Source organism: Homo sapiens, chromosome 15 (genome assembly GCF_000001405.40).
Source record: "Homo sapiens chromosome 15, GRCh38.p14 Primary Assembly".
In the NCBI taxonomy this organism is placed as follows: Eukaryota; Metazoa; Chordata; class Mammalia; order Primates; family Hominidae; genus Homo; species Homo sapiens.
In genome coordinates this window covers 24673598-24693412 of record NC_000015.10, presented here as the reverse complement: position 1 = coordinate 24693412, position 19815 = coordinate 24673598, and the positions used below count along the sequence as shown (strand labels likewise).

Below are 19815 nucleotides of genomic sequence, written 5' to 3'. Positions count from 1 at the left end.
CTCATTGTGGTTTTGCTTTGCATTTTTCTGATGGCCAGTAATCATGAGCATTTTTTCATGTCTTTTGGCTGCATAAATGTCTTCTTTTGAGAAGTGTCTGTTCGTATCCTTCACCCACTTTTTGATGGGGTTGTTTGTTTTTTTCTTGTAAATTTGTTGGAGTTCATTGTAGATTCTGGATATTAGCCTTTTGTCAGATGAGTGGATTGCAAAAATTTTCTCCCATTCTGTATGTTGCCTGTTCACTCTGATGGTGGTTTCTTTTGCTGTGCAGAAGCTCTTTAGTTTAATTAGATACCATTTCTCAATTTTGGCTTTTGTTGCCATCGCTTTTGGTGTTTTAGACATGAAACCATATGATTATCTCAATAGCTGCAGAAAAGGCCTCAACAAAATTCAACAACCCTTCATGCTAAAAACTCTCAATAAATTAGGTATTGATGGGACGTATCTCAAAATAATAAGAGCTATCTATGACAAACCCAAAGCCAATATCATACTGAATGGGCAAAAAGTGGAAGCACTCCCTTTGAAAACTGGCACAAGACACGGATGCCCTCTCTCACCACTCCTATTCAACATAGTGTTGGAAGTTCTGGCCAGGGCAATCAGGCAGGAGAAGGAAATAAAGGGTATTCAATTAGGAAAACAGGAAGTCAAATTGTCCCTGTTTGCAGATGACATGATTGTATATATAGAAAACCCCATCGTCTCAGCCCAAAATCTCCTTAAGCTGATAGGCAACTTCAGCAAAGTCTCAGGATACAAAATCAATGTGCAAAAGTCACAAGCATTCTTATACACCAATAACAGACTAACAGAGTCAAATCATGAGTGAACTCCCATTCACAATTGCTTCAAAGAGAATAAAATACCTAGGAATCCAACTTACAAGGGACTTGAAGGACCTCTTCAAGGAGAACTACAAACCACTGCTCAATGAAATAAAAGAGGATACAAAGAAATGGAAGAACATTCCATGCTCACAGGCACGAAGAATTAATATCGTGAAAATGGCCATACTGCCCAAGGTAATTTATAGATTCAATGCCATCCCCATCAAGCTACCAATGACTTTCTTCACAGAATTGGAAAAAGCTACTTTAAAGTTCATATGCAACCAGAAAGGAACCCCCATTGCCAAGTCAATCCTAAGCCAAAAGAACAAAGCTGGAGGCATCACGCTACCTGACTTCAAACTATACTACAAGGCTACAGTAACCAAAACAGCATGGCACTAGTACCAAAACAGAGATATAGACCAATGGAACAGAACAGAGCCCTCAGAAATAATGCTGCATATCTACAACTATCTGATCTTTGACAAACCTGACAAAAACATGAAATGGGGAAATGATTCCCTATTTAATAAATGGTACTGGGAAAACTGGTTACCCATATGTAGAAAGCTGAAACTGGATCCCTTCCTTACACCTTATACAAAAATTAATTCAAGATGGATTAAGGACTTAAATGTTAGACCTGAAACCATAAAAACCCTAGAAGAAAACCTAGGTAATACCATTCAGGACATAGGCATGGGCACATTCTTCTTTATTAACCTTAATATTGCCAGCTGGAAGCAGATAGCCAAGCCAGAGGTACAGTAATGATTGAGTAATTGTATAAGGAAGAAACCAAGGTGTTGTGGATAAAGCTATAGCATTGGGACATACCTTATCTCATGTAAACACATGCAAAAGGGAAAGATATGAGACAACAGTTTGCAGAAAACTGTACACAAGACAATGAAGGATAGAATGATACCTGAGTGATGTGAAACAATGATTGAGACCTAGTAAGGCTTCAGGTTACTGCTTTCAGAGAGTCCCAGGCTGCACTGTGGCAGGCACCTGGGAAAGCAGGAGAATGGAGAAGATGGACCTGGTATTCTGGAGAACAATTTGTCCCAATTTCATCAAGCCAATCTTCATATCCAGTGGTAAGAAGGAGACAGGGTTATCATGGCAGCATCCATGCAGGCAGAGGTGCTATGTTCTGTCATTACTCTACGGGGGCATGGGTCACAGAACTGCAGGAATAATACAGGAGAAAAGTGTGAAGACACAAGGAGAAGTCATTTTTATAAGCCTGGCCTTCAACCCTTTCATCTAATTCCTGACTGCAAGAACAACAGATGCTTTTGCATGATACAACTATCTTGCAACAGCCCCAGGATGAAGAGGTACTCTTTATAGGTGATGTAAATTACCTTTATAAGTAAGTTGAACCACCCTATGTGGACCCTAAGCTTTCTTTTCTATTATTTCTTGTTACATGTGGCTAATAAACTAATTACATTATCAACTAATTAATGTAGACCTTTCTTTATGAAATAGCAGAACACAATTATCATCAAAAGAAGGAGAAACAAGTAACACTTACTGTCAGGCCTCTGAGCCTAAGCTAAGCCATCACATCCCCTGTGACCTGCATGTATGCATCCAGATGGCCAGTTCCTGCCTTAACTGATGACATTCCTCCACAAAAGAAGTGAAAATGGCCTGTTCCTGCCTTAACTGATGACAATTACCTTGTGAAATTCCTTCTCCTGGCTCATCCTGGCTCAAAAACTCCCCCGCTGAGCACCTTGTGACCCCCACCCCTGCCTGCCAGAGAACAACCCCCCTTTTTCCTTTACCTACCCAAATCTTATAAAACGGCCCCACCCCATCTCCCTTTGCTGACTCTCTTTTTGGACTCGGCCCGCCTGCACCCAGGTGAAATAAGCAGTCTTGTTGCTCACAGAAAGCCTGTTGGTGGTCTCTTCACACAGACACGAGTGAAATTTGGTGCTGTGACTCTGATCGGGGGACCTCCCTTGGGAGATCAATCCCCTGTCCTCCTGCTCTTTGTTCCATGAGAAAGATCCACCTACGACCTCTGGTCCTCAGACCAACCAGCCCAAGGAACATCTCACCATTTTTAAATCTGGTAAGCAGCCTTTTTTACTCTCTTCTCCAACCTCTGTTACTATCCCACAACCTCTTTCTCCTTTGAATCTTGGCACCATACTTCAGTCTCTCCCTTCTCTTAATTTCAGTTCCTTTCCTTTTCTGGTAGAGACGAAGGAGACATGTTTTATCTGTGGACCCAAAACTCCGGCGCCAGTCTCGGACTCGGGAAGACAGTCTTCCCTTGGTGTTTAATCATGCGGGGACACCTGCCTGATTATTCACCCACGTTTCAGAGGTGTCTGACCACGTGGGGATGCCTGCCTTGGTCCTGTCACCCTCAGCGGCAAGTACTGCTTTTCTGGGGGGAAGGAAACCCCCGATCCCTTCTCTCCATGTCTCTACCCCTTCTCCAGTTTCCTGGGGGGCAAGCATCCCCCATCCCTTCTCTCTGTGTCTCTACCCTCTTTTCTCTGGACTTGCTTCCTTCACTATAGGCAACCTTCCACCCTCCATTCCTCCTTCTCCCTTAGCCTGTGTTCTCAAAGACTTAACACCTCTTCAACTCACACCTGACCTAAAATCTAAACACCTTTTCTTCTGCAATGCCGCTTGACCCCAATACAAACTCGACAGTGGTTCCAAATAGCCAGAAAATGGCACTTTCAATTTTTCCATCCTACAAGATCTAAATAATTCTTGTCGTAAAATAGGCAAACAGTCTGAGGTGCCTGACGTCCAGGCATTCTTTCACACACTGTTCCCTCCCTAGTCTCTGTTTCCAATGTGACTCATCCCAAATCCTCCTTCTTTGCCTCTCGCCTGTTCCCTCAGTCCCAACCCCAAGCATCACTGGGTCTTTCTAATCTTCCTTTTCTACAGACCCATCTGACCTCTCCCCTCCTCCCCAGGCTGCTCCTTGCCAGGCTGAGCTAGGTCCAATTCTTCCTCAGCCTCCCCTCCTCACACCTGGTCCTGCTTACAGTTTCGTTCTGTGACCAGCCCTCCCTGACCTGCCCAAGAATTTCCTCTTAAAAAGGTGGCTGGAGCTAAAGGCACAGTCGAGGTTAATACTCCTTTTTCTTTATCCGACCTCTCCCAAATCAGTTAGCATTTAGGCTCTTTTTCATCAAATATGAAAAACCCAGCCCAGTTCATGGCTCGTTTGGTAGCAACCCTGAGACACTTTACAGCCCTAGACCCTAAAAAGTCAAAAGGCCACCTTATTCTCAATATACATTACCCAATCTGCTCCCAACTTTAAATAAAGCTCCAAAAATTAAATTCTGGCCCTCAAACCCCACAACAGGACTTAATTAACCTCGCCTTCAAGGTGTACAATAATAGAAAAATTTTGCAATTCCTTGCCTCCACTGTGAAACAAACCCCAGCCACATCTCCAGCACACAAGAACTTCCAAACACCTCAACCGCAGCGGCCAGACGTTCCTCCAGAACCTCCTCCCCCAGGAGCTTGCTACAAGTGCCAGAAATCTGGCCACTGGGCCAAGGAATGCCTGCAGTCCAGGATTCCTCCTAAGCCATGTCCCATCTATGCGGGACCCCACTGAAAATTGGACTGTTCAACTCACCTGGCAGCCACTCCCAGAGTCCCTGGAACTGTGGCCCAGTGCTCTCTGACTGACTCCTTCCCAGATCTTCTCAGTTTAGCGGCTGAAGACTGATGCTGCCCGATCGCCTCAGAAGCCCCCTAGACCATCATGGATGCCGAGCTTCAGGTAACTCTCACAGTGGAAGGTAAGTCTGTCCCCTTCTTAATCAATACGGAGGCTACCCACTACACATTACCTTCTTTTCAAGGGCCTGTTTCCCTTGCCTCCATAACTGTTGTAGGTATTGATGGCCAGGCTTCTAAACCTCTTAAAACTCCCCAACTCTGGTGCCAACTTAGACAATACTCCTTTAAGCACTCCTTTTAGTTATCCCCACCTGCCAGTTCCCTTATTAGGCCGAGACATTTTAACTAAATTATCTGCTTCCCTAACTATTCCTAGGCTACAGCCACACCTCATTGCCAACTTTTCCCCCAGTTCAAAGCCTCCTTCACTTCCTCCTCTCATATCCCCCACCTTAACCTACAAGTATAAGATACCTGTACTCCCTCCTTGGTGACCGATCATGCATCCCTTACCATCTCATTAAAACCTAATCACCCTTACCCCACTCAATGCCAATATCCCATCCCACAGCATGCTTTAAAAGGATTAAAGCCTGTTATCACTCCCTGTTACAGCATGGCCTCTTAAAGCCTATAAACTCTCCTTACAATTCCCCCATTTTACCTGTCCTAGAACCAGACAAGCCTTACAGGTTAGTTCAGGATCTGCACCTTTCCAACCAAATTGTTTTGCCTATCCACTCCATGGTGCCAAACCCATATACTCTCCTATCCTCAACACCTCCCTCCACAACCCATTATTCTCTTCTGGATCTCAAACATGCTTTCTTTACTATCCCTTTGCACCCTTCATCCCAGCCTCTCTTTGCTTTCACTTAGACTGACCCTGACACCCATCAGGCTCAGCAAATTACCTGGGCTGTACTGCCACAAGCCTTCACAGATAGCCCCCATTACCTCAGTCAAGCCCAAATATCATCCTCATCTGTTACCTATCTCGGCATAATTCTCATAAAAACAAACGTGCTCTCCCTGCTGATCGTGTCTGACTGATCTCCCAAACCTCAATCACTTCTACAAAACAACAACTCCTTTCCTTCCTAGGCATGGTTAGTGCAGTCAGAATTCATACACAAGAGCCGGGACTGCACCCTGTAGCCTTTCTGTCCAAACAACTTAACCTTACTGTTTTAGCGTAGCCCTCATGTCTGTGTGCAGCGGCTACCACTGCCTTAATACTTTTAGAGGCCCTCAGAATCACAAAATGTGTTCAACTCACTCTCTACCGTTCTCATAACTTCCAAAATCTATTTTCTTACTCACACCTGATGCTTATACTTTCTGCTGCCCTCCACTACCTCTCAGCAAGCCGAACTCACTGCCTTAACTTGAGCCCTCACTCTTGCAAAAGGACTACGCGTCAATATTTGTACTGACTCTAAATATGCCTTCTATATCTTGCACCACCATGCTGTTATATGGGCTGAAAGAGATTTCCTCCCTACGCAAGGGTCCTCCATCATTAATGCCTCTTTAATAAAACGCTTCTCAAAGCCGCTTTACTTCCAAAGGAAGCTGGAGTCATTCACTGCAAAGGCCATCAAAAGGCATCAGATCCCACTGCTCAGGACAATGCTTATGCTGATAAGATAGCTAAAAAAGCAGCTAGCGTTCCAAATTACATCCCTCACTTTCAGTTTTTCTCCTTCTCATCTGGCCACTCCCACCTGCTCCCCTGCTGAAACTTCCACCTATCAATCTCTTCCCACACAAGGCAAACGGTTCTTAGACCAAGGAAAATAACTCCTTCCAGCCTCACAGGCCCATTCTATTCTGTCATCATTTCATAACCTCTTCCATGTAGGTTACAAGCCACTAGCCTGCCTGTTAGAACCTCTCATTTCCTTTCCATCGTAGAAATCTATCCTCAAGGAAATCACTTCTCAGTGTTCCATCTGCTATTCTACTACTCCTCAGGAATTTCTCAGGCCCCCTCCCTTCCCTACACATCAAGCTCGGGGATTTGCCCCTGCCCAGGACTGGCAAATTGACTTTACTCACGTGCCTCAAGTCAGAAAACTAAAATACCTCTTGGTCTGGGTAGATACTTTCACTGGATAGGTAGAGACCTTTCCTACAGGGTCTGAGAAGGCCACCATGGTCATTTCTTCCCTTCTGTCAGACATAATTCCTCGGTTTGGCCTTCCCACCTCTATACGGTCTGATAGCAGACCGGCCTTTATTAGTCAAATCACCCAACCAGCTTTTTAGGCTCTTGGTATTCAGTGAAACCTTTATATCCCTTACCGTCCTCAGTCTTCAGGAGAGGTAGAATGGACTAATGGTCTGTTAAAAACACACCTCACCAAGCTCAGCCACCAACTTAAAAAGGACTGGACAATACTTTTACCACTTGTCGTTCTCAGAATTCAGGCCTGTCCTCAGAATGCTACAGGGTACAGCCCATTTGAGCTCCTGCATAGACGCTCCTTTTTATTAGGTCCCAGTCTCATTCCAGACACCAGAACAACTTGGACTGCACCCCAAAAAACTTGTCATGACAAATATGACTATCTTCTGTCTAGTCATACTCCTATTCACCATTCTCAACTATTCCTAAATGCCCCGCTCTTGTTTACACTGTCAGTAAACTGTTTCTGCAATCCATCACAGCTGGTATCTCCTGGTGCTAGCCCCAAACCGCCACTCTTAACTCCCTCTTAAAGTAAATAAATAATCTTTGCTGGCAGGGCTATGCTGAACCTCCTTAGGCACTCTCTAATTGGATGTCCTATATCCTCCCAATTCTTAGTCCTTTAATACCTGTTTTTCTCCTTGTCTTATTCCTTTTAGTTTTTCAATTCATACAAAACCATATCCAGGCCATCACCAATAATTCTATACGACAAATGTTTCTTCTAACCATCCCACAATATCACCCCTTACCGCAAAATCTTCCTTCAGCTTAATGTCTCCCACTCTAGGTTCCCACGCCGCCCCTAATCCCGCTCGAAGCTGCCCTGAGAAACATCGCCCATTGTCTCTCCATACCACCCCCCAAAATTTTCGCTGCTCCAACACTTTACCACTTTTTCATTTTATTTTTCTTATTGATATAAGAAGACAGGAATGTCAGGCCTCTGAGCCCAAGCTAAGCCATCATATCCCCTGTGACCTGCATGTACACATCCAGATGGCTGGTTCCTGCCTTAACTGATGACATTCCACCACAAAAGAAGTGAAAATGGCCTGTTCCTGACTTAACTGATGACATTACCTCGTAAAATTCCTTCTCCTGGCTCATAAGCTCCCTCACTGAGCACCTTGTGACCCCCACCCCTCCCTGCCAGAGAACAATCCCCCTTTTTCCTTTACCTACCCAAATCTTATACAACGGCCCCACCCCGATCTCCCTTCGCTGACTCTCTTTTTGGATTCAGCCCGCTGCACACAGGTGAAATAAACAGCCTTGTTGCTCACACAAAGCCTGTCTGGTGGTCTCTTCACATGGACGCGAGTGAAACTTATCTCCTCTATTTTTTCCCCAGAATTCCTCCAGTTTCCTTTTATTTTGAGAATCGTCCTGCCTTTCTCTTTACAAAGCAAATGCTAGTCTATGTAGTTTGCATGAAGTATAGAGTTGCTCTCTATATGCAGTAAAATGATGGTTAATGGTGCCAGGATGTAATATAATAAAGTAAGGATGACAAGTTTTTTTTTCTTTTTTTTTTTTTGAGATGGAGTCTTGTTCTGTTGCCCAGGCTGGAGTGCAGTGGCTTGATCTTGGCTCACTGCAACCTCCACCTCCCAGGTTCAAGCAATTTTCATGCCTCAGCCTCTGGAGTAGCTGGGATTACAGGTTCATGCCACCATGGCCAGCTAATTTTTGTATTTTTAGTAGGGACAGGGTTTCGCCATGTTGGCCAGGCTGGTTTTGAACACCTGACCTCAGGTGATCTGCCCGCTTCGGCCTCCCAAAGTGCTGGGATTACAGGCATGAGACACTGTGCGCAGCCTGATAATCATTTTTAAACAACCAATGTCTGGTGTTAATATTCTCTGCATATAGTACTGAAGCCCAGAACCCCTGTAGCTTTAAGATGGCAAAACATGGCCATTTAGTAATATGGAGTTACGACACCCATAAAGTATCAATGTTTTTGGTCTGTTGATTGCTTACATCTCACATGTCTTGAACTAATGCTTCCCCTCACCAGAATATTTTTTAAACCATTAGATTGACAATGTAATTACCTGCATAGCAGACATATGCTAGGAAGTCTCAGAGACTCTCCCTGCAGGAATGCTTCATTCCCAAGAGAATGTGCTCCTCTCAACACTGTCATGTTCCCATTAGGGCCCTCCACATTGCATGCCCTAAATAAATCCTGTTCTGCCTGTTGGAGTCCTGATTTATTCCTGTCTTCTCCTTGCTTTTGTATCCTGAGGAATCTCATTTTCACTAGCCAGTTAAAAAGTTGACCTAGTTTGCTTTTGGAACCACTTACTTCAATGCACCACCCAACTGACCCTTCTTTCTTCGCCCATAAAGTTTCATTTGTCCTCCATCCTATGAAACCTACTTCCAAGAAAGTCTCTGATATCAGTCATTCACAGCTTAGTATGCATTTAAAGCAAAGGTACTATTTACCTAAGACAGATAATTTTTTTAGCAGAGATTTTGTTTGGCTTCTTTTTTTCTAGTCCCTCCCATGCCCCATTTCATGCATTGGATAAATCCAGGATCTAGATCATGGCTGTAAAACTTAGCAAATATTTGATTTTATGAGCCTCAATTTTCCTATCTGGAAGGCACATCTGATGATGATATTCCTGTCCTGGGACTTCTGAGAGAGCCATTCCCAGCTCTGCCTCAGGTAAAGAATGAATTGCTGTTTGGGAAGCCCTCATTGCATCACATAACCCTGGGATCACAGCAGTGACTGGTTAAGGGGGCCCTGGACAGTGTTCTCACAGTTGGGGGCAGTTTCTAGACCTCTAACATGAAGATATTTAGAGCAAGAAAGACATGCATCCATGAGTTGGAAATTCTCAAATTTTCCGCAGGCCATTTTCTAGTTCATGAGACACAGATGTAAGGAAAACACTCTGCTTATTACTAATTAGGGCTTTGGAACCACATCCTATACAAATTTTTTTATCTTATGAGATGAATGAGGACTTTGGTGAGCTCTCATGTAAGGTGTGAAGCAGTGTTTGGAATAATAGGAAACATGGACTGTCTGCATCATACCTCCCTAGAGTGCTGCCTGGAATCCAGATTCCTGGCTCTACCATAGATTCAGGAAATTAGGATGATGCAGCCAGAATTAGACATTTTTTAAAAATTATTGATTAGTGAGCATTTCTGGGCTAAACTAAAAGCAGTTTGGGTGGCTCCTTTAGGCCTCTTTCTTCTGAGACCATGTCCTTATGTTTGAAATGCTTGTTCCTCGGTGTCGTAAAGAAATAGCACTTGAACATAAATTTATTTAGTAAGGCCATTTTTACTTCCTGCAGAAAGGGTACACTTGCCAGCAGTTTTGCCACAAGAGTACACCGAACAAAGGAGACAGGGTCATTTATAACCTGACGCGTCCACCCTACTGCTGTGTCCGGTTTCCATTGGCTGGAACAGGACCTCACATTCTGTATTTGTCCCGATTGGCTAGCAATTTAGAACTTTTAAAAGAGGCAAAGGTAGAGGAGAACAAAGGAATGAGGAAGTAACTTGTGGAATGCTGAGAAAGGTAAAAACACTTCTAAATAAGGAAGAGGAACAGGCTATGACCTAATGCTTGGACCAGTATAAGCATGCCAGGGCAAATACTTAGGCTAAATTGTGGGAGCTAAGAACATAAAGTACATTGATTTCTTTATTATGACTAGCAGATATTTAAGAATGTTAGTACAGGTCTGTGAATACATTTTGCTTCTAAAAGAAGTTACTACTTATTTCTAATTAGATAGGGAGGAAAGTCTTTGAAGAGGAACCTCTACTTTACTTTTTACATTTACTTTGGTCTTACCACTCCCAAACCAGTGGAGGAGGCTCAAGGTTTCTGGAAAAGGAAGGGATTCAGTCAAGTAAACAATACTATTTGAAAATTCTAGAAACCAAAAACATTTTTTTTTTATGGGAAAAGAGTTCAAGGAGAAAAAAAGGAAGGCACTTCAAGTTTTAGGAAAAACAATGACATCTGTAAGATAACATAATAGTTGAAGTAAAAAAGCAAACTCAGAACTATGGGAGTGACATCAAAGTAGCTAAACACTATCTCTGGAGGAGGGAACTGTGGTAGGAAGGTTGACTTTCAGTATTATTTAAATTGATATTATGTTTGCTTTTTATCTTAATAAAAAATAAAAGAATATTTAGAAATAGTTTCAGTTGTGTAAGTGCATCAAAACATGAAAACAAAAATTATCTTTGTATCTCTCACACATTTATTCAAAGTTTGTCTTACCAGGATCATAATATTTAGCTTGAAGCCTTTTAAAAAATGTCAAGAAGTATGAATTTTAAAAAATTTGTCCCTGGTAATACTGCAAGGGTATAGGGCTATTAGAAGAAAACTGGATTTCCACTCTACTTCTGAAAGGCAGTTCTGATTACAAAAGTTAGGTGATTATCTGGCCAGGAAACAGGAGCTTTGATCCTCTGGAACTGTACTAAACAATTTAGAGCGAATGAATCAGGCCCCAGGGTGCCAAGAGGAATTCAGTAATTTCTCTGTGATTGTTTTCTTTCAGGCCTAATCTCATAAATGTTTTAGTCTCTGTTATCATATTTTTACATGTGTTTGCTTCATAAAAGTAAGTGCTTTTATGCTAATAAAAAGGGGTTCTTCCGAGAGGTGGAGCGTGCAGTGAGCCAAGATCACGCCACTGCACTCCAGCCTGGGTGACAGAGCAAGACTCCATCTCAAAAAAAAAAGGGGGTTCTTCTATTCTTCTATTTGAATTGCCTAATAAAGGCAATCAGGGCACCATTGCCTAAGGAACTCAGTCATTGACCATACATATATATGTATATTATCTATCTATCTATCTATCTATCTATCATCTATCTCTATCATCTATCTATGTATCTATCTATCATCTATCTATCTTTATTAGTCAGTTCTGATTGCTACAAAAAATGCCACAGACTGGTAGCTTAAACAACATTCAATTATTTTCTACAATTCTAAAGGTTAGGAAGTCCAAGATAAAGACAAATTCTGTTTCTTGTGAGGACTCTTTTCCTGGCTTACAGACTGTTACCTTGTTGGTATACCTTCACATGGCAATTAGAGAAAGCACTGGTATTTCTTCTCATAAAGGCGCAAATCCCATCATGGGGGTTTCATTTTCATGACTTCATCTAAACCTAATCACCTCCCCAAAGCCTCACCTCCTAATACCATCACACTGGAAGTTAGGCTTCAAAATATCAATTTTTGGGGGTACACAAACATTCAGTCCATAACGTTATCATCTATCTATCTATCTATCTATCATCTAATCTATCCATCCGTCTATCCATCCCTATGTATATAACAAATTACAACAAAAGCTTATAAGTCATTTCTCCATATTATTTCATTTTATCCTTTCAAAAATCTTATGAGATAAACAGGCCATAGTAAAAGTACTGATTTCATTGAGACTTTTGAAGTTTGAGTCAACTGTTATTACACAATTAGTAAAAAGTGGAGGAAGGAATTCCACTCACATCTCTCCTCTGTCCTCTTCTCTATCCCTCCCTCCCACTTGCTGACTCCATTCCAGCCACATTTCCTTACTAACTGCTCCATGAGGACACCAGGGATCCTTCCTTTGAGCCTCTGCAATGACCACTCCTATTATCTGGAAAGGTCTTTGCTCATATATCTGGCTCAACTGCTTCTCTCTAGGCTTCGTTTAAATTTACCTTCCCAGTGAGGCTTGTTCACAGTGTAAACTGAAACACCTGCTTCTATCTACAATCTCAATCCTCCATGTACTTCTTTATTTTTCATAGCATTCGTTACTGGCTAATTTACCAGATAATTTCCATGTTTTTGCTTCTTTTCTCCCCTTCAACTAGAATATAGGGTCCACAAAGTCGGGAATTTTGCCTTTCTGTCCATGACTAGAGAGAACTGGCCCAGAGGTAGGGTCAGCCAAGTTAACAGTCAAGCCAGGTTTCCTCTACCCTCCACAGTGCAGAAGACCACTAAAATACAGTGCGGTTCTGACTGGGCTCATCTGCTCCACACTCACCAATAAACACACACACACACACACAAACACACACACTCTCTCTCTCTCTGTCTGTGGTTTTGGGCCTCCAGCTTCTGTAGGAAGAGAGCAGGTTAAGTTTAACCTTGAGGGAACTGAGCCCATTCCTCCTGGAACAATGTCAATTTATGAGAACTGTATGTGCAGGGAGAGTGCTTATTTCTTAAGACCATTGATAGGAGTAAAAAATGAGTTGGTGGCTCCTATGAAGGCCTTGGCAGGTACAAGTGTCACTAGTGGCTGCTTTCCATCACAGGCACAGGTGCTCTGACCAGGACCATCCAAACACAAGTATTTAACTAACAATGCTGGCTCCTCTAGGCTGGGCATGGTGGCTCACACCTGTCATCCTAGCACTTTGGGAGGCCGAGGTGGGTGGATCACCTGAGGTCAGGAGTTTGAGACCAGCCTGGCCAATAAGGTGGAACTCTGTCTCTGCTAAAATTATAAAAAATAGCCAGGTGTGGTGGCATATGCCTGTAGTCCCAGCTACTCAGGAGGCTAAGACAGGAGAATTGCTTGAACCCAGGAGGTGGAGGTTGCAGTGAGCCGAGATTGTGCTACTACACTCCAGCCTGGGCTAAGGCTCCGTCTCAAAAACAAACAAACAAACAAACAAACAAACAAACAAACCAAAACAAAAACAATGCTGGTTCCTCTAAAGTCAAAAGGAGCACCTTGGTTGGGCAGGTCCATAGTATTTTTACTGAAAGGGAGACTAGAGGTTTCTCCCTACAAATATCTGGGGCTATCTCCTATTGCACCACCTGCATTTAGCCAGGTGGGCCTCAGGTGCTTTGTGTAAATGGGGGACCAAAAGTACAACCAGTCACAGCCGTTGTGTTGCTGTCCCTCATTGCATGGTTTGTGCTTTGTCCAGGTGGGCCCCAGGTGCTTTGCTGATACATGGGCACATGAGGGCCTTCTATCAAATGAATGTTGACACTCCTGGAAGAGGTACCATCTGTGTTTTGTCCAGGTGGGCCCTAGGTACTTTGTTGGTAGGTGGATACACAAGGGCCTCTAATTAAAGATATGTTGCCATTCACTGCAGATGCACCACCTGTGTTTTGTCCAGGTGGGACCCATGTGTACTGACAGAGAAAGGGAGCACAGGGATGTTGTTGTCCCCTCCTGGTGCACAACCTGAGTTCTGGAGAGGTACATGGCAGGTGCTTGGCATGAAGATGAAACTAGAAGCATGACCATACAAAAGGATAATGCTGGTATTTACAACCACAACTGATGTGGTGTGATCAGGTGAACCACAGGTGCTCTTACGGAAGTTGGAAACAGACATGTCTCCTAACATATGTTTCTTGTCCATAGTAGTGGGTGCTTGAAGTGTAGAATTTTCTCTCTGTCCATGTGTGCTGCAGGATGCACTGTTGAAAAGCAGGAACACAAGGGCCTCCAACTATGGATCTGGTGCCATCCCCTCCCATACCACTGCATGAATTCTGGGTAGGTGGGTCTAAACCAGGAATGTAGGCGGCAGCAGAAGTATATCCAAATACAGGAATGTTGCTAGCCCCTTGTGGTGCAGCAGCCATGCTGTGGCCAGTTGGGTCCCAGGCTGCCTGACCAAATGGGAAAACAGAAGTGGTGCTGGGTGTCCCACTCTGTCCTTGTCCAATGTTGAGTTCTCCTGATGTGGAACTGGGGCCTGGGGCAGACATGCTGAACCCAATGCTCCCACCATCCATAGGGGTTCCAGGTCCCATAATCACTTGTGGGCCTGGAATAGTATTTCCAACCAGTAAGGTACTGTCTCCAGTGCCAGGCATCCCAGTGGCAATTCTAAATCCAGAAGTCTTTGCTGTGCCATTGGGGAAAGCACTTGCATTGTGACCCTCGACTGGCTCAGCATTAACAGGTGTGCCCAATGCAGTATATGGTGATGTTAACTCTGCAAAACCTGGTGGAATTATGCTGCCACTCAGTGGCTGGACTGAAGGAGATGTTAAGCCTATAACTGGTGCTGGGGTTGCTGGATTCCCCAGAATAAAAGAACTGTCAGACTTCTGCTGCCCATCAGTGGCCCCAAGTGTGGAATGAGAGATGGATCCTGTATTTAAAGGATGGCTGGAAGTTGTGGTTGGTCTCCTATCTGCCTGTGCAGGAAAACTGGTGGAGACTTGGGCTGAGGCAATGCTGTCACTGTGTAGTGTGTTCCCAGAACCAGGAAGCCCCATATAAAATCGGATGTACTCCTCCTTCCTGGAGACAAAGGTAGACTGCAAGATGACAGTTTTGGAAGGAGGGGTGGTATTCATGTCACTGGTGTCAATGGCAGGCTTGGATAACGATGCTGCAGAGGCACTGCTCACTAAAGTGGAGGTGTCTGGAGGAACCATGATAGGAAGGCTCAGGAAATCATGGGCACTGGGGAGAGAGGTTTTCTGCTGCGGCCCATCAGGGGCCCCAAATTTGGGTTGAGGGGTGGCTCCTGGATTTAAAGGATGGTTGGAAGCTGTAGCTGGTGCCCTGACTGACTGTGCAGGCAAACTGGTGGAGCCTTGGACTGAGGCAGTGTTGCCGCTGGGTTGTGTGTTCCCAGAACCAGGAAGCCCCAGGTAAAATGGGAGGTACTTCTTGGAGACAGAGGCAGACTGCAAGATGACAGCCTTGGAAGGAGGAGTGGTATGCATAGCATTGGTTTCAATGGGAGGTTTGGATGATGATGCTGTAGAGGCACTGTTCACTAAAGTGGAGGTGTCTGGAGGAGGAATGATGGGAAGGCTCAGGAAAACACAGGCACTGGGGAGAGAAGCTTTCTGCGGCTGCCCATCAGGAGCCTCAAATTTGGGCTGAGGGGTGGCTTCTTTTCCAAAGAGTTGGTTAAAACTTGGGGTGGTATTGTGGAATATAAATGGAAGTGGGGATGTGTAGACTGATGTCTTTCCCGGGTGCCTCTGCTCTGCACTGCAATGTATTTGGGAATTTGGGAGAGAGCTCACTCTGGAGCTTAGGGAAGATGTGAAAATAACAACCTGAGATGGGGCAGTAGTATCCATATTAACTACTTCAGGGTCTACCGCAGTCTGTGAGGTTAGGTGGGCAGATGCGTTTGTTGTGACAGTGGAAATGACTGACGTGGAATTCATAGGCTTGCTGGTGATAACTGAGGTCCCGGTGGAAGGGACTGGAAGAAGAGTCAGGAAGGAAAGAGGAGGAGGGGAATCCACACACATAGATATTGGGGACTCCCTTGTGACGGGAGGCTTGAAGGAGGGTGTGGAGCTAGGAGGTGTTGGGGGGTCAGAAGTGAGAGGCGCTGCTCCTACGACTGAATTATAAGAGCCTCCTTTCTCATTAGACTGATCACCCAAAATGGGAACAAGGTCAGCAGGAAGAGCCAGAGGAGAGTTAGGGATTGTGAATGCTATTTTCTCATCCATTTTTGGTGTGGTGGAAAGTGGAGGGATAGGCAGGATGAGGGGTCCAGTAGCCAGGTCAGCCAAGTCAGGGATGGGCAAAGGAGCTGAGACCTGGGAAGTGTAAGTGGTCAGGGGCAGGGAGTCTGTGGTCTGCACAGGTTGGGAGAAAGAAGGGGCAGGCTGGGTGATGCTGCTGTTTGTCATGGTCTCTGTTTTATCCTCCAAGATTCTGCTATTCCTTTTATACTCAGGGCTCTTCTCCAAGGTGTGTAGGTCTCCCTCAACAGACAGGCAGGGGAGCTTAGCAGGTGGGGGAAGCTCACCTCGATCCCACAGCAATGGCAGTGAAGGGGGCAGCGGCAGCAGCAATGGAATCGACATTTTCCTTTTGCAGGGCCTGTTGCGGGCAGCTCTGGGAGGAGCAGCGCTCCTTGGAGGAATACAGAAAGGCTTCTCATCAGGCATCCTCTTTCCGGACATCAGCGGAATCGGCAAGCCTAGGGAGCTGGGCGGTGGCTCTTCATTCAGCACTTCCGCAGCCAACTTCTGCTGCAGCAGGGAGCAGCCAACGGCTGGCTCAGGGGGCGCTGTTGCATCCGGATCAGGCTTTCCAAGATGCCGGGCACATCCGGCCTGGCTGTGTGTGCTGGGCATGGCAGGGCCTTCCAAGCAGGAGCTCGCTGGAGACGCCTGGGCCTTCTCACTCATGCTGTTTTCTGAGAACTTGTGGTAGACATTTCCCTCCAGAGGCCCAGGGCTGCATCTGAAGGAGGCCACGTCTCCCTGGGTGCCCTGGGACCTGGATGTGGACGATGCTTCTCCGCTGCTAAGGGGGGTCCTTTTCTCGTCATCCTCCCCTTCGATCTGCACCGGATCCTCATCCTTCTTCACTCTTCTGGGCCCTTCTTGGGCCCACACCTCGGTCTCCTCCAGGAGAGTGGCTGGGATGGGCTTCCTGGCCTTGACCGCCGGCTCACGTGGTGAAGGCAGCAGGAGAGTGAACATGCGGCTGGGAGGAGGGATCCTTACGGAACTGGGGTGTCCAAACCTCGGGGGGTTCCGAGCAGGCAGCATGGGTGTCTTCCTGATGGCCAGCCCCCAACCCACAGCCGGCAGGACCCCCAGAGGGGCGGCCGCAGCCCGAGGGAGAGGACACGGCCTCTTAGGGGCGACGAAGATGCTGGCTGCTGAAGGCCTGCGACGGGCGTTCCGGCGGAACAGGCCGCGGAAAGGGCGCGGGGTGGGTACAGAGTGAGCCCGACCGGGCGGGGAGGCGTCCCGGGACAGGGGAGCGGGGGCGCCACGCCCTGGCCCTGGCAGGGGCCGGCGGCGGCACCCGGGTCTAAATTTACTAAGTAAATTGCCCATTTAGAGCTAGCCGTGCCTCCTACCGTAAAACAGGGTCAGCAGTGGACTCAACTCTCCTCAGCCACCGCCTCCTCTGGCGACCAAGCACAAACTGACTGGCTCTACGCCTGCGACGCCGCCGCGAGGTTCCTCACAGAACCAGGGAGCGCCAGCGGGGGCGCAAAAGGCAGGGGTCAGAGGGCAAAGGGCGACGCCCCGTCGGCCCCAGCTGCCCCAGGACCCCCGGAAGCCCCGCTGCCGGTGGCAGGTGTTGCACCGCGTGGCCTCTATGAGGGAACTGCTGGGGCCTGCGGGCCCATCGCCAGAGCTCTTGTCACCTGGGCGCCGGCTCTGCCTGTTCCTTAGCCCTGGCCCGGCGCTGTTGCACGCAGTGGCCCTGTGTCGGCCGTCCCCATTCCCCGGTTCACAGAGGGCACATCTGCTTCAAGTTAAGCACAGGACAACCTATATCCTGCCAGCCTCCTCTAGGACCTTGGCAGTGCTCTGTGCTGCCTGGAGCCAGGTGTGCCGTCTCTGTGGCGCCAGGGTCACCAGCCAGGCCGTGAGGGTTTCCGAGGAGGGGACGTGGTGCCTTGTCCTGACTAGATGCTACGCCCTACCACATCTCTTCCTGGCAGGCAGGGCCTCTTCACTTCTTTTCACAAATTTGTTTTAAACAACATTTAAGGCTGGGCGCGGTGGCTCACGCCTTTAATCCCAGCACTTTGGGAGGCCAAGGCGGGTGGATCACCTGAGGTCAGGAGTTCGAGACCAGCCTGACCACCATGGTGAAACCCCATCTCTACTAAAAATACAAAAATTAACTGAGCGTGGTGGCACGCACTTGTAATCCCAGCTACTAGGGAGGCTGAGGCAGGAGAATCGCTTGAAAGCGGGAGGTGGAGGTTGCAGTGAGCTGAGATCACCTCACTGCACTCCAGCCTGGGGGAACAGAGCAAAACTCTTGTCTCAAACAAAAACAAAAACAAAAAACCACAACAAACAACAGCAACAACATTTAAGCCTTAGGCTGCTTGCTCCTTGGGTCATTGATATGACAGTGGCCTAGCCAGGCTTCGAACCTGGGCTGTGTGATTCCAGAGCTGGTGCCGTGGCCTGTGTGCCTCCTTGTTATGGACACATCATGTATTCTCATTATTTCCTGTAGTCCTTAGGGTACCTAGCACACAGCACATCTGTATTAAGCACATGCGTTCCTAGGGGGAAGCCCTTACTTCACCTCATAAGTTGGTCATGGCAGGCACTGGGCTCCAGTCTCCTCTGAAGACATGGGGCAGCGACCCCCAATAGTCAGCAAAGCAGCATCCCACACTGTTCTTCTAATTGAGCCTTGCAGCCCAGATTTCCTTTTTGGTCTAGTTTGAAGGATCTAAATATGTAAAGATTATAGTCCAGATCCATTTTGGCCTATCCCGAAAGAAATTCACCAGTGGATTAATCCAAATGGATAAGCCAGTTCTCTGGCCTTCTTGGAATATGTTAGAAAGCAAATTCATCATGTATTTGCAAGTCAGTAGTGGAGCAATGTATTCGATTAAAATATGATCAATACAATTTGGTCATTGTCCGCATGCCAGCAAGGCCCACTCTTTACCACACATTACTGTCACCTAAGTATAACTATCCATATTCTTATGCCCAAGGAAGGAGACTTAATATTGGTTTTTAGGACAAAGGAAATATGTGTTACTGTTTTAAGAGCTGGAAGTTTCAGCATGACAAGAAAGATTTGGAAAATCCTACACATGACCTTATCTAGTTTTAATCTTGTTTCTTTGGTTTATTTAACTGGACTGCTTTGCTCTCTTTGGGCTAATGTTGTGTGCCAGACATAGGACATGTGGAAGGTTCAGAACCAAGAATCAGAGATCAGTAAAAATATTTTAATGTATTTTTTAGTTTAAAAATCGATTTAAAATAACATCAAACCTAGTTAACATACTACAAAATCCTTTTTATCCCCCTGTTCATATATTTTATACTATGTCAGAGTAAATGTGGGCTTCCATACCCAACAAAGCTTATGTTTCTAGGACACAAAGTTTTGCTCAGACCCAAATTCTGTTTAAAAAGAGGAGACATATTATAAGTCCTTCCTAACCTCTCAGGGAACCGAGAAATTGTTTACAATTATGGCATTTAACTGTAATCTCTTGATATCATTTGAGGAGAGTTTAATAAAAAATAATCTCTTGATTTTATTTGTTTAAACAAAAAGAACAATCTGGTACAAGTTTTGGACAAAGATTTCCTACAAGAACTCTGAAACA

General features: G+C 45.8%; 1 protein-coding gene across 1 annotated transcript, besides 1 other annotated feature; it reads right to left on the bottom strand.

The window, feature by feature from the left end:
- Positions 5830 to 6434: an enhancer, noted in NCBI's record as "OCT4-NANOG-H3K27ac hESC enhancer chr15:24932126-24932730 (GRCh37/hg19 assembly coordinates)". NCBI's record gives its function as "activates a minimal SCP1, AML or CMV promoter by ChIP-STARR-seq in naive H9 embryonic stem cells {active_cell/tissue: H9 hESC(naive)}" and the evidence as "EXISTENCE:reporter gene assay evidence [ECO:0000049][PMID:30033119]".
- On the bottom strand, positions 10020 to 17638 carry NPAP1 (nuclear pore associated protein 1). The gene has a single exon (NM_018958.3). It carries the CDS (start codon positions 17543 to 17545, stop codon positions 14075 to 14077), a length of 3471 nt encoding a protein of 1156 aa, NP_061831.2. The 5' UTR covers positions 17546 to 17638; the 3' UTR covers positions 10020 to 14074.